The sequence below is a fragment of the Homo sapiens genome, chromosome 1 (genome assembly GCF_000001405.40).
Source record: "Homo sapiens chromosome 1, GRCh38.p14 Primary Assembly".
Lineage (NCBI taxonomy): Eukaryota > Metazoa > Chordata > Mammalia > Primates > Hominidae > Homo > Homo sapiens.
Window position 1 is genome coordinate 48,747,230 of NC_000001.11, and position 16,484 is coordinate 48,763,713.

Consider the following 16,484-nt stretch of genomic DNA (forward strand, 5'->3'; position numbering starts at 1 on the left):
GGAAGAGTAGGAATTTTTTTTTAAAAAAGGGCTTTGATCCATTTGCATTCGGATATTGACACACACTTGAGGTTTATTTTGGGGAAAATATACCTTCCATGGAAAGAAAACTCTCAGCTGGGTAAAGGAAGCTTTTAAAAAGTATGAAAGGTAGTACTTGTCTTTTCATTCAATCATTCATGAACCCATTCATCACACAACCCCTGACTGCATATCAAGATCTAGGCTCTGCAAGAGGCACTGGGGACCCAGAGACAAAGTATGTTCCTGTTCTGGGGAAGTTCAGATTTAACATGTGAAACACTATTATATAGCATACAAATAACTCTGATTTAACGGATAAGCAATAGATTTAGTGTTAGAAAAACCTGGTAAAGATCCTGGTTCTGTTATTTACTTTACCTCTTTAAGCCCTACTGGCTTTTTCCCTAAAATGGAAAGCATGACACACAGTTACGGTCTTTGTAAGTGTTTGCTGGGGCAACAAATACATGAAATTACACCATTTTCTATTCTTGTTGTATCGTAAACTGGACTAATGCTGTTCTTTCTGATTAACACAAATGTTTATGTTTGTGTGACTTCCGGGTTTAGAAATCACCTATTTTTTCAAACATGTATGTGTTTGGACACTAAATATCATTTCTGATTTCAGCTGAAATGGAAAGGTTAATAATATTCGATTCTTTTTTCTTTCTTTCTTTTTTTTAGAAAAAAGGACTAAATCCTTTTACTTCTGTAAGTAGATAGGAAGTTTCTCTGTTACAAGTACCATCCTATTTTCTTCATAAATGCATAGCAAATCAAGTCAAAATTCCTAAATGCGTACAGAACATCTGCTGTGGCACACAGAAAGTACTAGATTTGGCAGAATAGAGATGATTTTACTGTCGAGAAGTACCTGGGCAGGGGAACAGCTTCATAACAATGAAGGAGTTAAACAAAGGCCTTGGAAAGAGACTAGGGAAGATGCCTCCGGAGCTGGGTAGGAGGATCCCCCTCTGTGGACCTTCTCAGACCCTCTCAGAAGTCATCAGCTGCTCTCACCTGCTGCTGTAGCGTGCCTCTGTTTCTTAGCCCCATTAGTCTTCCAGTGAAAGCAGAGACAAATCTGGTTTCATTCCTTTGGTGAGAATCTACTAAGTACCTCCTGAGTGCCAGCCCTGTGCTAGGTGGAACTGAGTGCTTCACTGTCCAGCAGTGGAAAGAGACAGGCAGCAGACTACCACCAGCCATGTGGCTAACAAGCATTAGGAGAAAAACTGGGGCAGAAGCAAAGGAGGGGGTGCTGCCTCTGGAGGAGACTAGGAAATCTTCATAAGGACGGTCACCAACTTCTGTGTTGGGGCTTGGAGGATGAGAGGAGCTTGTTGGGTGTGTGACCCTAGGGTGGGGTAGTTCTCATAAGGTGAAGGCAAGTGGCACAAACCACAGGCTCACTGTGCACAAAGGGTGCAATGTGATGATCTGCATGAATTTGGGGAGGGGGAGATCACTGCCGGTTAAGGGATCCTAGAAGGCTTCAGGAAAGTGGTGATCTCTGACTGGGGCTTTGATGGATGCGCGACATCTTGGGGAGGTGGGGGAGTAGTGAGGCCGGGGTTCTTCAGGTCCTCTCTCTCTCCATTTTCTGTGAGTGAGGGCAGGAGCAGGCTTCGTTGGGCAGAGGCAGGAGAAAAAAATTCTAGCATGAATCCTGGATTAGGTGAGATCCCAGCAGCTGACACAGATGCCTCCACAGTGGGGCCATACCCTCGGGGAATCTGAACCACAGAGCAGCAGAGTTGAAATGGATCCGAGAGAGCCCCCTTTCCAAGGGGGAGAAGCCCACCCAGGAAGAAAGAGGTGAAAAAAGCAGGCCCAGGTCCCCAGTCTTGGAGGTCAAGGTTCTCCCCGACTTTGAGGAATTGCAGATGCCCATTTCAAATGACATATTTGAGAAGGAAAGGTGGCTGAAACCTACAAAAGTCTTCTTTGTTAAGTATCTTATATCAAATGTATCTCTCTTTTTTTCTCTCTGTAGCATTTTTCAGCCCACTGTCACGTGATTGTTTGTTTAACAGCTCCCTGACTAGAACATAAACACCGAGGGGATGTTCCTGCTATATCCCCAGCACCCAGCGCAATGTCCTCCATACAGAACACTCACTAAACACGTGTTTAGCGAAAGAAGTTAATCCTTATGGTGGTCCTACAAAATCGATCTTATTATCTCTGTAAAGACTCAGAGTAGTAAAGTAACTTGCCAGAAGTCACATAGGTGGTGAGTGCTCAAACTCAGGGTTGTCAGATTCCAAAGACAGCTCTTTCCACTACCCTACCCCTCCTCAATGAACTGTACTTTCCAGAGCTTCTTGCCTAATGCTCACTCTGTGGGACCCTCAGCTCATCTCTGACTTTCTCTGACATTCCTAGGGGGTCTGTGAAAAGCCCCACAATCATGAGGGGTGCGGTGGAAGGGGAATAGGTTGTCACCTCTAGAAGCTCTGAACTTATCCTCTGGTGGCCAGGGAAAACTGGACTGGTTCTTCATCTGTGGTTCTTCTACTTCTCTCCTGCCCAACTATCTGTGCCCAGAGAGTATCCAAATGGCAGGGTATGTGCAGAACGCCCTGTCAAGGAAGCATTGAAGGCCCACACATGTATTCAATGCATGTAAAATGGACCACAGTTGGCTGGGTTGGGGGGCTAAGGAGTTGTGGTGGGAATAAGTGGGGTGGGCAGCATAAGGGCTGCTCCCAGTTTCCTGAGGGACCACTGTGGGCACAGTGAGTGCCTGAGGGTAGGAGTTATGAGGAGGCAAAGTTTGATCACATGGTGGATGTCTGCCCAACAAATCAATCCATGACCCTGACCTCTGCTGATACTCCCTTCAGGCCATGAGCCCTTCCAGAGTAGGGACCATATGGGATTCATCTTTGCTAAATGGCTGTTGATTGATTTGCCTGACTCAGAGGAAAATAGCAACTCAGGAGTTGAAGGACTGCACCCCAGCCCACTCCAATGGGGAAGTGCCCCCATGAACCACCTGTAGGAGGGGCTGGGGTAGTTCTGCTTGCTCTCATCTATGTCTGCAACCTCATCTCTTCCTGCTACCCAGCACTTCACTGTGCCGTCCAACCAGAACTACTTTCAGTTCCTTGAATAAGCCAGCCTCTCTTGCAACTCCAAACCTTTGTTTAGGCTCTCCTGTTGCCTGAGATAGTTCCTTAACTTGGGGCCTCCTGCAGCCACCCACAACTCTCCTACCCCAGCCATGTAAGGAGCTCTCTTTTGTATCCTTTCCCAACATCCTGAGAGCTCGGGACCAAAGTAAAGCTCACCCTGCATCCCAACTGTCTGCTGTTGAGACTGTGACTTCTTTAAGGTGGCAAGGGGGGCTTAACAATTTGATTTCTCCGTGCCTAGCACAGGGCTCGGAACAGAGGAAGGATCCAATAATGTTCCCTGCACAAAAACATTTCCCTACGGTCAGAGCTATCCAATAATGAGATAGGCTGCACTGGAAGGCAGTGAGTGAGCTTCTTGTCTCTAGTGGAATGTTACTGGAGGCTGGGTGATTGCATGGCAGGGAGACAGCAGAAAGCTTCTTGTCCTGTATAGGAGGCTAGACGAGGTGAACTCTGGGGTTCCTTATAGGACTAAGGTCCTAGGACTCTAAGAATTACCCCCCACACTCAGAGTACCCCCTGGAGCAGCAAGGGAGGGTATGGCCAGCCTCTGGGACCTGCTGAATCCTGGCATCCAAACAAACATCCATCCATGTTGGCTGAACACAAACCTTCCACTGCTTCATGATATAGCATTCATGAAATCCTATATATTCTGATTCCACATGGCATAGATATGTCTTTTCCCCTCTCTGGGCCTCAGTTGTCCATCTATAAGATAGGGGTGAAAGGCTGAACTGGGTTCTCTCTAAAGAGACAATTTCTAAGAAAACTCCAGGAATTGTCCAATTGGTATCTTGAGGCCATGTTGCCTGGTAAGGCTGAAACTATGAAGACATGGTGGGCTTTTAAATTAAGCAGGAAATATTCATCTAAAAGCTCAAGGGTCCTGCAGTCACAGAATGCACTGCAGTACTGGATGGTCTAATGGCCAGCAATGAAGGCCTAATCAGGAGGCAGGCAAAAGGGATGGTGCCACAGAAGCACATGGCTAAGGGACTCTGTGATCAGACTGCCTGACGCATGGCAAAGCAAGAGGGGCCTCAGTTTTGAAACCTGGTTCTACCCTTTCCTGGGTGTGTGGCCTCAGGCAAGTTACCTAATCTCTCTGAGCCTGTTTTATCCACTGCTGAGGTTGTTTTATATATGGAAAGTATTTAGTGTCTGGCCCAAAGCAGGTATTCCTAGAAACCAGGCTTTGCCTGTAATGAACACTTTCCCACCTCCATTTCCTGCCTGGCAAATCCAAAAAAAACATAAGCTTGTCACATGGCAATATGGAAGGCAAAACCCTGCTCTAATGGAGAAACACACTGCTATTCTGACAATGGGGAAAAGCCTAACAACTTCCTCTGGATGTTCTAAATACCTAGGCAGTTGTTAGAAAAGGGACAGCCTGGAGTTGTCCCTCAACCCCATCCCCACTGCCCCCAGGAAAACGGAGTCTAGGGAGAAAGGGGAAGGAGGGTCCTGAATTGTTCGGCCACCCTGAAATCAACTTTTAAAATAATCTGGGATTATTTTAAACTGTGGCTACTTCTGATTTGGGCAACAGTTCAAAAAAAGTCCTTCAAAGTAGAAGATGACTGATATTTTTCAGACAAACTACTCCACTTCTTATTACTAGGTCTCTTCCTGCCATCTGAATTAAGCAGGATACAACAGTTTTTGAAACTGCCCCACCACTAACTCTAAACCGGCAGGCAGACTGTGGGCCTCTTAGGCCTTACCTCCACAAGGGAGATGTAAACATCTAACTAGACAAAATGGCTCTTGTCCACCCGCTTTGGGCCTTTCTCAAAGCCCAACTTTTTTATAGTACTCCTGCTCATTGTGAAAATGAACTGAGGCTGAAAGAGACAGGAAAGAGCTCTGAGATAAACAGGCCCCAAGAAGAGAGTCCTGGCAAAGAGAAGACTGAGCCACAACTAGTGATGTCTAAAAAAATCTAGGAGGTCAAATGGGGTGGTTGAGAGCTAGAGATGGGAAGATGGAATTCTGCCCAGGAAAAGTTGGGCGTGGTAATGGACAAATTCTATAAGCTACAGACCAGTGAGTTTGAAATCAAGTCCAGGCATGGTTGTAAAACAGAGTGTTCAAATATGATTTCTAAGGACTTACAAGGGGAAACAGGAAATCTCTAGGTGTCATCCAGGGTTGACCAAAGATTAAGACATCCCAGACCGTCACATCTGTGTTCTGCTGTAGGACAATGGGTGCCTATGATGTGCCAAGTGCTATATACACATTTTCTCATGCACATCTTCAAATGATTCTATATCTTGATGCAGTACCTACTGAGCACCTACTATATGCCAGCCTCCAGGCAGATGACTTTACTGCATTTATTCATTTACTCCTTTTTTTTTTGGACAGAGTCTCGCTCTGTCGCCAGGCTGGAGTGCAGTGGCATGATCTTGGCTCACTGCAACCTCTGCTTCCCGGGTTCAAGCTATTCTCCTGCCTCAGCCTCCTGAGTAGCTGGGACTACAGGCACGCGCCCCCATGCCCAGCTAATTTTTGTATTTTTAGTAGAGGCGGGGTTTCACCATGTTGGCCAGGATGGTCTCGATCTCTTGACCTCGTGATCCGCCTGCCTCGGCCTCCCAAAGTGCTGGGATTACAGGCGTGAGCCACTGCCCCCGGCCCATTTGCTCCTTTTAAGAACCATAATAGCTGATACTATCATTCACTCTCTTGTACAGATGAGGAAACTAAGGCTGAGGAAGTTAAGTAACTTGCCCGAGGCAACAAAATTTGAATTTGGAAGAGCTGGGGTTGAAAACCTCAGTATTTCTGACCTCAGAGCCCATTAGGGCTCTTAATCACTGAGCTGGTTCTCCTGTCTGTATGTAGTGGGCTTTAAGATACCTAGAGGAGAAAACAGACACCTGAGAAGGGTTAAACAAATGTGTATGAAGTTACACAGGTAATAAATTAAGACAGCTGAGATTCAAACCCAAGTAGTATCTGTTGCTGAAGCCCAGGTTGTCTCCAGTACAGGAGAAAACCAGCAAGAAGCATTTGGCTGACATCAGCTGCCTTTTCTAAGGCACCATCAGAGACCTGGGCTTAAAGAAACCAGTTCAGACTGCAAAGGATTTTAAAGATCAAAGCTGGTATTTTAGCGGACCTTGGACAGCACACAAGGCACAAACCCAGAGGGTTACAGAGGTATTAGTGATCCAGCTCTAAAAAGTTGAAACAGATATGCAGGCCACAATGGCTTTCTCCTTTTTCAAAACTTTCAGCCAGCTTATGATCTAGCCAACAGGACATTTTCTCTTCTTTTTGCATTCTCCTCTCTAAAACGGAGATAATAATCCCTACCTGGCTTGCAATAAGACTATCGGAATTGTCCAATGAGATAAAAATGTCAAGGTGCTTTAAAACCTGTAAAATGCCATGCACATGTGAATTACTGTTATTACTCTAGTTATCTATGCCTCTTCTGGTTAGAATTCATCATTTTTGCCTATATTCCCTGACAAAGCACACACAAAATCTAAAACCATCATCTGCCTCCCTCCTGCAATTAGAGCACTGATTTTATTTGCCTGGTGTCACACTGCGTACATATTTGTGTTCCCTGTGAGACTTGTGTGCATCCTGAAGGCAAGGATTATGTCTGCTCCTCTTTGTATTCCTCACAGAGCCCTTGAGAGTCTTATTTGAACTAATGTTACCCGAGTCACACCACAATGAATTATACTGTCTAAGTGGTACTTACAGTGTAACAAACTGGGGAGGACACCGTAGCCTTGGACTTTGCCTTCTAAGAACAGGGAATCTAGCTGAGGAGAAACCAAGAGAGACCCTAGAATTTACTCCATTCTCACACATGGGGGCTTACCCTCCCCCAACTGGGTCTCTATTGTTCTGCTTCCCTTCATCCCCTAAAATTCTCTGTGGCTGCCAACACCCGGTTTAAACACACCATTCTAATCTACTTGTGCATTGTTTTTTAAAAAGGCACTCTGTCTTGTTCATTACGTTATTCCCAGCACCTAACCCAGTCCTGGAACAAAGGATACCCTCGATAACTGTTCACTGAATAAAATAAATAATGAATGAAGGAATATACATAGAAAAACATCTGTACCTTGTACATTGGAATGTCACCATGCTTTTTGCATCCTCGGCATTTACTTATTTGGGGGAGGAGGGGCAGGAAAGGGAGAAAAAGGAAAAGGGGACTGGCATTTATTGAACACTTACAATATGGGGGTCACGGGGCAAAAGTTTACATATGCAAATTACATATGCTTCCTTATTTAATTTTGACAGTGGAGGAAAGTGAGGTTCCTTCCCATCAGAAAGGGTTGTTTACCATGCTAAGATCACAGACAAGGAAAGTTCTGTTTTACAGAGAGAGATGATATCCTTTGTGGGGAGTAAAGGGGATGGAGGAGACACCCCCATGTTGGGAAAAATGAAGTCTAAGAGCTAAAGAAGGCCATACGGGTGAGGGTCTAGAGAGAGGCACGCAGGACCAGGGGTCAGAAGACCCTTAGGAATAAGCCAGTGACACTTTTTGGGCTTGTTTCCTCATCAGCAAAATGACGGTGACAGTCTATAGCCTAAGTTCTTTCACAACTCCATGCCTCCATGTTGGAATACTTCCTGTTAAATCCATCTTTTCTTGTGTGTGGAATGAATGAAAGAATGAATAAATGTACAAATGAAGACGTGTACGATTCAGTGAAGCCTCTGAAACATACTCTCTTGCTGCTATCCCCCACCCTTGGGTGTGGCTCCACCTTTCTGACCCCAACCTTTCCAAGGTGCGCCATTACAACTCCTGGCTGCTGACGGACCTGCTTCCCACTCTGAGTCCCCATCAGTCTGAAAAGACCAGGCGGCTGCTCTCCACTACCATCTACCATTCGTAGGACCCCACTACCTCGGTGAGTAAATAATGATTCTTCCAGACAGGTAGATTTCTTTTGAAAACTGAGCACCTCCTGACCTGTTGGCCTCCCTCGTCTCTGAATTTGTGTGAATGATCCAGCACCCAAGCTAGACAAAGGCCTTTGAGCTAGGCCCCTAGCTGAGGTGGACAAAAAATGAAAATACTCAAGGATATGCCTCCAGGAGCAACACTCAAATGAGGCCCAGGGGGCAGAGAACGGCAAAGCCTGGGCCCTACATCAACCCTAACCCAGGACATGTTTCTCAGAGGGCAACTGAAGCCGAGAGTCAAACAAGGGTCTCTCATTCGCTTTCTGGTTGTTCTCTGCCTTCTTAGTGGTGTTTATAGATCAGGATCTGTTACAGCAAGGGGATATCTTACCAGACTTTCCAAGAGAGACTTCTCCCTTCAGACGCTAATCTCTCTCCCAGAACTGGCACTCTGCGTTTTAATAACATGTTTACCTCCATCACTACCCTCTCCCTACTTCCCAATGTCTTAATCTTCTTTGTATCTCCCTAAGTTCCTAGGCTCAGAAAGCATTTGGTCAATGTTAGCTGACTGATTGAATAAACAAATGAACAAACATATATAACCCCTCTTATCTTCAATATTGTAAGAGGATACTGAGGCAGAGAAGTTAGTTAACCTGCCCAAGGTCATATAGCCAACTACTGGCTGGGGGTGCCCGAGTTAAAAGCCAAAGTTAACCCTGTCTTAGCTCCTCCATTACATGATGTTGAACAGGAGCTAACAGTAATCAAGCATTAACAGAATGTCAGGCACTATGCGGTGTGTCACAAGGCTGTAATATTATCATTCCCATTTTACATATGAGAACACTGAGGGTCAGAGACATACATGCTCTTTGCCTAAATTGCTCCTTACTCTCCCCATCTACTGATTCCTGTTTGGGTAACAAAAATTCATCATTCAGGCTTCAGCCTAAAAGTTGTTTCCTTCAGGAAGCCTTCCTTCTCTGACCCCTCAAAATCTGGTGGGTAATCCCCTCTGCTGTCCCACAGTCCTCTATGGTTTTGTCCCTATGATGGCATTTATGTACTGTGCTGTCATTGATTGTTTCAGGATCTGTTCCCCTCATCAAACTTTAAACTCCTCAAGGGCAGAGGGCAAGGGCTGTATTGCAAATATACTGAATTCTTACACTAGGCTAGGTCCCTGGCATGTAGCAGGAGACCAGCAAGTATTCATGGAAGAAAATAAGGTCATAGGAAAGGAAGGAAGAAAGGAAAGAAGGACATGAGCTTCCCAAAGCCACAGAGTTGGGAAGTAGGGAAGTTGGGATTTGAATCCAAGCCGTGAAAACATACAACCTCCTCTTAAGGGTAGAGATCCTTTTATTTTATTCTTGCGGATTTGTCTTGGAAGTTGGCACATTAGCATCCTCCTATTAACATGTGTTAATCAATAGACTTTTAAGCTTTCACTGATGAGAGACAGTGGGTGTGATTTTCCAGGATGCCTGTAGCCCTGAGAGGATAGGGTGGGTGGTCTATGCATACTTGGGGCTCCAGTTGATTTATGTTGAGTCCAACCCATTGTAATGATGATGGTGACTCAGATCAGGGAAGAGCTAGCCACTGGCCTGTGCAATGGCCTTCAAGGCCTGTGGGATGGGAGAGCCTAGAAAGATCAAGACACTGAAACTATGCTTCAGGTCAAGTTTTTCTACATGTTTTAGGACTAAAAGAGGCATATAATGATGTAAAATGCAGGGTGTCTTACCACCCCAGAGGCTTAGGAGTGGTTTCTAGAGTTTAAACTCAGTTCATAATCATGAAAAACAGGTAGTTTCCCTGGGAGTTGAATTAAGTACCAAGAATTTCTGTTTTTGGTGTACTTCCCCACAAGCCCCCAAGAAGTTCATAAAAGGCATAGCATACAAAGCACACTGAAAATGCAAATTATTCACTTTAAGATTGGGAAACATTTTTTCTCTCTGAAAATTTCAGTTATCCCCATCCCCCATCACCACTACAAGAACAATACAGCTTTTACAAATTTTTACATTTATGATTTCTCTTTGAGATTTTATTTTAATAAAGAACTTTACTAACTTTTGAAGTTGCAAACCATATGCGACTTTTCGTGTCACTGTGAACCTCTGTAGACTATGATTTGGGACAATGGCCAAGGCAATGGTAGAGTTGGGGAGTGGACAAAGTCCAGCCTATGAATTGAGTGACTAGAGTTGAGACAGAACTCTACCTCTGCCTCCCTAAGTAACTCTGGGGAAGTCCCAATGTCATTTCCTTTTCTATGACAAGGGCATGAAAGGCCTCTCTGCTGACTTCTTGGACCACCCAAAGATCTACTGAGCCACTACCTTGGGGATATACTTTAAGAAGCAAATGACACCTACAAATATAAGTAAATTAGGGTAAGAATAAATCAAAGAAGAATGAAGCTTCATATCTAAATATATTATCTAGATAATGAAAACCTTCACAAGGGCAAAATTGTATTTTATTTAAACTTTGGGGATATTTCTAGACTAGATTACCACCTTCTTCAAGCAAAGCACACTGACTCAGAGTTATTAATTACTGTCTTCAGGGGCTATGGAGGCAAAGAACTTGTGTTATACCGATTTCCTCAATATTGACTGGGCTCTATCTTTTACAGTTCTGGATTCTTATATTCTAAAAGCATTTTTCTGTCTTTTTCTCTCTGGTAAGCAGTCATTTCTTCCGGCAGTCAAAGCTGCTGCCTTTCAGGTTTCTCGATCCCTGCTTCTAAACCACTTTAGATCAGAAAACCTGATTAGTTAAAATAGGGTGCAATATAAGAACCTATTAAGTTCTATGAGCAAACCAAAGGAGTTTTATACGTCTTTATATTCATCTTCCTAAGGTCATGTGCCTCCCTGCTCAAAGCTTTCTAATGCTTTCCATTCCTACCAAAACAAGTCCAGACATCCCAGGCTGGTAAAGTTTTCAAGTCCTTCCATCTTCTGTCCTCAAAGCACATTTGCATTATTCCTCTTAGTGTGCTCCAGGTATTTGCCCATGCTCACCAGTGCTGCTCAGCCTCCTCTTGTGCCTTGAAACACTGCCCAACCTTCAAAGCTCAGTTTCTTACTGAAGTCTCTCCATGCCCTCAGTTACAAATAACCTCTCCAACCCCTGAATTCTCATATCATTTTGTCAGCATTCTCCTTTGGCATTTATCACTTTCTGACTTAAACTAATACATGTTGTTAGGATCATGTCTACTTCTTTTTACTATCCTGAAACCTCCTTGGAGAGGTTCCCTACGATCCCTGTTACTGCCTCCTGCTGAATGAATGCATAAGGGACTGAGCAGTGACAAATATTTTGTCAGCTCTTAGTCTCTGACCCATGTTCGCCAATGTTCCCATAGCTGAGGCTGCTGCATACATAAGCTCCTACCAGATTCACTATGAGTGGGGAGTGACTCTTCCTTGAGGTAACTGGTAAGCCAAGAGTCTGTCCTTCCCTAGCCTCAGGGCACTTGGTCTCCCTCTCCCCTTTCCCTTCCTGGAAGAGGATCTGCATGAAGTATTTCACCCAAGTGGAGTGGTAGGTGACCTGCTGGGGCACTCACCGCTGCCAAGCCGCAGGAGCAGCACGTCCTGGAGCCTCCGGTTAAGGTCACGGAGCTCCTTCATTTCAGACACAAGTGCCCCGTACTCCTTGAGCTTCTTGGCCTGTTGTACCAGCTGCCTCCGAGTCCGCTCCAGCTCCTGCTGGAGGTGGCGCATCTCTTCCTGTTGCTGCTGGTAGTTGCGCAGCAGCTCCTCATACAGAGCCCGGGGCACCACAGCATCTTCTAGACTGTCCATGTCCTCTGTGCCTGGCGAGGCCTCCACGAAGACCTCTTCCGGACACGTGCTATGGCCCAGGCTCAGGCCGTTCTGCTTCTCTAGCCGAGCCACCACTGCCTCGATGCTCTTGTGCGCCACTTCGCTCGGCTTCCGCCCCTCAGGTCTCTGTGTAGGACAACGAGAATCAGTTCAGGCAAGGGCAGCTGGGATTTTCTTGGACTGCAGATCAATATTTCCCCAGACAATCCTAAAATCACAGAATCACAGAACATCAGTGCTTGGAGAAACCTGTGCAAACACTTAGTCAAAGCCCTTCATTTTATAAATGGGGAAACATTTTATAAATTTTATAAATGGGGTTCCGAGTGGGGAAGGGGCTTGCCCAAAGTCATAACCAGGACACTGGTTTCCCAGGCCTGCACTTTTTCCTTTTCACCACTCTGCCTCCTGGATGCATATACCATGACCACCCTTCCCAACTCCCCAGGCCCCAGCCCACCCACAATGCCTAGGCAGTGGCTTGCTCATGGGGGTGTTCAATATGTATTTGTGGAGAATCAGGGAGAAATGAGGCCAGGCCAAGTGATCCCAGAGGACTCACAAATGTCTTCAACAACAAAAACATAAAATTCCTCCCCTAAAGGCAATTCACCATGTAAACTTTTCATCGACAATGCTTTAGATGGAAAGGATGTTAAAAACTCTAATCTACTCTAATCTAGAGCAGAAAACATGTCTTATTTTCTCTGTTTCTCCTCTGCCTACTCACTCAGAACTGGCACTCAGTAGGGGCTTGAAAAATGTTTACTCAACTGAAAAGTTCAAAGAATTCTAGCATTGAAAGGTACTTTCAGTTTAACTGCCTCATGTTACAGGTGAGAAAACTGAGGGTCAGAGAGTTCAGGGAAGGACTACACTTAGGGTCACATAGTGAGATACAAACAGAGCCAAAACCAGAATTTGGAATCTAACTTCCAGTACAAGGCTCCTTCCAGACTCTCCTCAGCAAGACAGTGGATAGAGAGAAGAAAGTTCATTTACAAGAGAATTATCCAGGACCCCCTCCAGAGCTTGGGGTTCCACTGCCTAAGGAAATTCTAGCTCAAGTAGCTACAGCTTCTACTGAGGGGCAGTGAGAGTTACAAGATCAAATGAATTCTTCACTCAGGGCAGGAGGGTTAGGAGCTCTCCTGACTGGGGCATGTGTAGGAAGTGCAGACAACTGAGGACATGAGATTCCAGGCAGTTCTAAGTTTCAGGAAATTTAAGGAAAACCAAACCAAATCAAACCCAGCCCAATGAAACCATGACTCTGATATTGTGTTACATGACAAAATCGTAAGTCGTTTTATCTGCTGAGATAAGGTGCTACTAGTGTAGATGAATTTATCATTTATCTAAAGTGATCGTTACAATATGTCTGCGTCACTATAATGTGAGACCCCTGGAGGCAAGGACCATGTCTGGCTAATGGTTCCAGGTACGAGCACAGGGCCAGGCGCATAGCAGGAGTACAATGAATGCCATGAACTGAACTCAGCTACATTCCTTGGGAACACCCTCAACCTTGTGACCAAAATCAGACCATGGTCAATGCAGAAGACATCCCACTTCCTTATCGTCCTTCTCCCTTCCTCTCAGGTATCTACTGCACAGAAAAAAACAGCTAGCTTGCCGAACAAGATTTTCAGCAGTTTCCAAAGTGAAGGCTGGAGACCAACTGGGGCACACAGCAAGAAAATGCAACCTCATGCAAATGTTTTCATCTAACCCGAGGTCTCACAAATCCCTTCTGTGAACCTCGTGCACTTCCCAATGAGTCCAGCCTTAGCTATCTGGGGCACTCTGACAGTGACTGGCCCTAAACTTCTCCCCAAGAACATCTGTTTAACGTTCTTGGAGCTTAGCAGTGACCTCTCCAGAGCTGTGGGCCAAGGAGAAACACACCGTTCCAAACCTCCAACAGCGATGACACTGCACAGACTGTGCAAACAGGACCAAGCTTGGTGGCACAGCATGAATCAGGGCTCTCTAGAAAGTTGGCCAGCAAGGCAAATACACACGAGTTGTCCCACGCTTTCACTACCCTGAAAAAATCATAGCCTGTGATACCAGGGGACATTTACATGGGGAGAGGAAGCCAGACTGAAACTCTTTAGCTACGAGATATCTGAAAATGCTCCAGCATACCTCCAAAGAAAGGAAAGATTTTGTTACCTTGATGTGTCTAAGCTGTAAATCTTCTTCCCCATAATCTTTAACCTCTCCATCTTCTTCTACATGATTAAGAGAAAGCTTGGGGATTTTTATTTTCTTCTGCATCACACTGTTTTCAAGGTCAGATTTGTCTTCTAAAATGCATATCAAGAGAACAAGGTTCATCATGAGTTAAAATGAGTCATTATGAGTTTAGAATGCCCAAAACCTCAAATGCTAGAAAATAATTGAGGCCAGACCAGTTAAAAAGGAAAAACAAACAGACTCAAGGCTGGTTCCCTCTTGCATGCAGGGATCCTAATAGCAGTGCAGATCTAGGAACAAGGGTGTTTGCTAAAAGCACTGTCATACAAAGTGTTGAAATAGCAGCCAGTGAATTTGCTTAGGGGTTTCTCTAAGTACATCCTAAAGGGTGGCCTTTTATGGAATTCTAGAATCTTGAATTGGAACAGCCCTTAGATTGCTATCTGATCTAAACTAAAATGGCACATGAATCCCTCAACTCAACTGAGATCTTTCTAAGCCAAGTGTCTTCCCAGGAGAACTTGGTGGGTTTCTGTCAGCTCAAGTGCCAATAGACATGAGAGAGCTTATAGCTGATAGGGATGTAAGGAAGGGCAGGGGTATCTCCACAGCCCTGACATAAGGCAGGCTGAGGTAAGGCAGACGGGAGAAGAATAACATTTATCCCCTTTTTACTGGTATCAAATCTCAGCATGACTGAGTTTGAGGGACCTCAGTGAACAAGTGGTCCAACTCGCTCATGTTACATGAGGAAATTCAAACCCAGAGGATGGAAGAGGCTTGCCCACGGCATGAGTCTGAGGAACAGCCGGGAGTGGGAAAGAGGCCTCTGGCACCTCGCCCACTGCTTACGTGTGCTCACGACACATACTGAATGTAAAGTGCTACACAAATATAAAAGGATATTATTTCTACTCATTTTCTCATTCTTTAAGCTCAACCTAAGATAATCTGTTTCTTTTTCTGCACAGATTTCAAACTGGACTTTCCAGATTTGTCTCTCACTGGATATGTTCAAAAATAAAAGTTCAAACAAGAGGGCTCCAGAGGCAAAAATCTGAATCATCTCTGGACTGTCCCCTTGTGGTAAAATACTTTGTGTTCAGGGCTTAAACTGACACTTTAGAGATTGCTGTTTCTCATAGTCCTCAAAGGTTCCCACTGGTGTATCCCAAATGCGTTTTGTAGCATGTTGCCCAATGTTGGATGTAGCATATGGCCAGGTAGTTAGTTAAATCCAGTCTTTAAGGGTTTTGTGTGTGTGTGTGTGTGTGTGTGTGTGTGTGTGTGTGTGTGTGTATGTATTTGCATGTGTTAAACATGCTCTTACACTGTTCCCAGGCCAGGCTTCTCTCCTACAACTTGTTAGTAAAGCTGAGAATGCAGCTTATAAGCACATAACTATTCCAGAATGTACTCAAATGCTGAATCTTCTCAAATGCTCTTAGGGATGAAGGCCCAGCTGGTCAGAGGTAGGAGTCTAGTATCAGAGACTTAAGTGTGAACCTCAGCTTTTCTATGACAGGATGAGGACAGGTAGGTAAGGGCCTTAATCTCTCTGAACTCAAGTCTCTCCTCATAATGGAGGTTGTGAGGATGAGAGCAATAATTCACGCAACCCACCGAACAGTGCCTGCTACACACTGAACATTCAATGGATGGCACAATATAATTGGTATTATCAATGTGTTCTGAATCATTTTCTTCTCTTAAGCATAAAGTGAATAGAGATTTAATTAAAACAACAACAACAACAACAACAACAACAACAAAGAAATGATTTAAGTAGGGTAAGGATGATAAATGAACTGCTCAGAAAAAAAAGAGGTGGTCTTTGTTAATAACCCCTACTGATGAAAACGGCCTTTCCCACTGAGTGGAGGAGCAATCCTTGGGTTCCTATTTTCACAATGGCTCATTCTTGCACTCATTGTGCCTATAAAACACATCCAATGGGTTAGGCATGAACAACAATAGGGACTCAGGGTTTTCTAAAAGAGCAACAGTTTCCCTCCTACAAATCATTGCTGACTTCTAAGTCAAAAGGCTGCTAAAATGTAAAATCTAAAGAAAGTACTTCAGATGAAATTATCTTGCAATGGTGTTTTTTTGTGTGTGTGTATGTGTGTGTGTGAAAAAAACAGACAAAAAGAGAGAAAGAGAGAGAGACGATGAGGGTGGTATTAGGATTTCTGAATGTGTTGGGGCAAAGCTCCTGGACTAGTCTTCAGTTTGACAAGTTGAGGGCAAAGTCTGACATGCAGAGCCACCAATTAGAAATGACAAGCTATGCTATGCCTTCCTGCGCTGAAACTCTGTAGCTCAGGATCATGTTAGTGTGGAGAAAAGCAAT

At 44.6% G+C, this 16,484-nt stretch overlaps 2 protein-coding genes across 19 annotated transcripts in view, besides 1 other annotated feature; both read right to left on the bottom strand.

Annotated features, from left to right (window-relative positions):
- The window catches only part of AGBL4 (AGBL carboxypeptidase 4), a 1,501,444-nt gene that overhangs the window by 224,719 nt on the left and 1,260,241 nt on the right, over nucleotides 1–16,484 (bottom strand). The gene's annotated exons all lie outside the window — the stretch shown is intronic.
- Nucleotides 1–16,484, bottom strand: part of BEND5 (BEN domain containing 5) — a 49,373-nt gene that overhangs the window by 19,711 nt on the left and 13,178 nt on the right. For 6 of the 11 annotated variants that reach the window (NM_024603.4, XM_047430505.1, NM_001349795.2 and 3 more), the window contains 2 exons: nucleotides 14,108–14,241; nucleotides 11,671–12,055 (listed from right to left, as the gene is read on the bottom strand). In NM_024603.4, the coding sequence (NP_078879.2) occupies nucleotides 11,671–12,055; nucleotides 14,108–14,241 (519 nt within the window). Of the gene's footprint in view, nucleotides 1–6,900; nucleotides 6,965–11,670; nucleotides 12,138–14,107; nucleotides 14,242–16,484 lie in introns of all 11 variants that reach the window. The other 5 variants (NR_146232.2, NM_001302082.2, NM_001349794.2 and 2 more) reach the window with 3 other exon arrangements.
- Nucleotides 3,065–3,194: an enhancer, noted in NCBI's record as "active region_1011". NCBI's record gives its function as "activates an Ori minimal core promoter by ATAC-STARR-seq in GM12878 lymphoblastoid cells {active_cell/tissue: GM12878}" and the evidence as "EXISTENCE:reporter gene assay evidence [ECO:0000049][PMID:35858748]".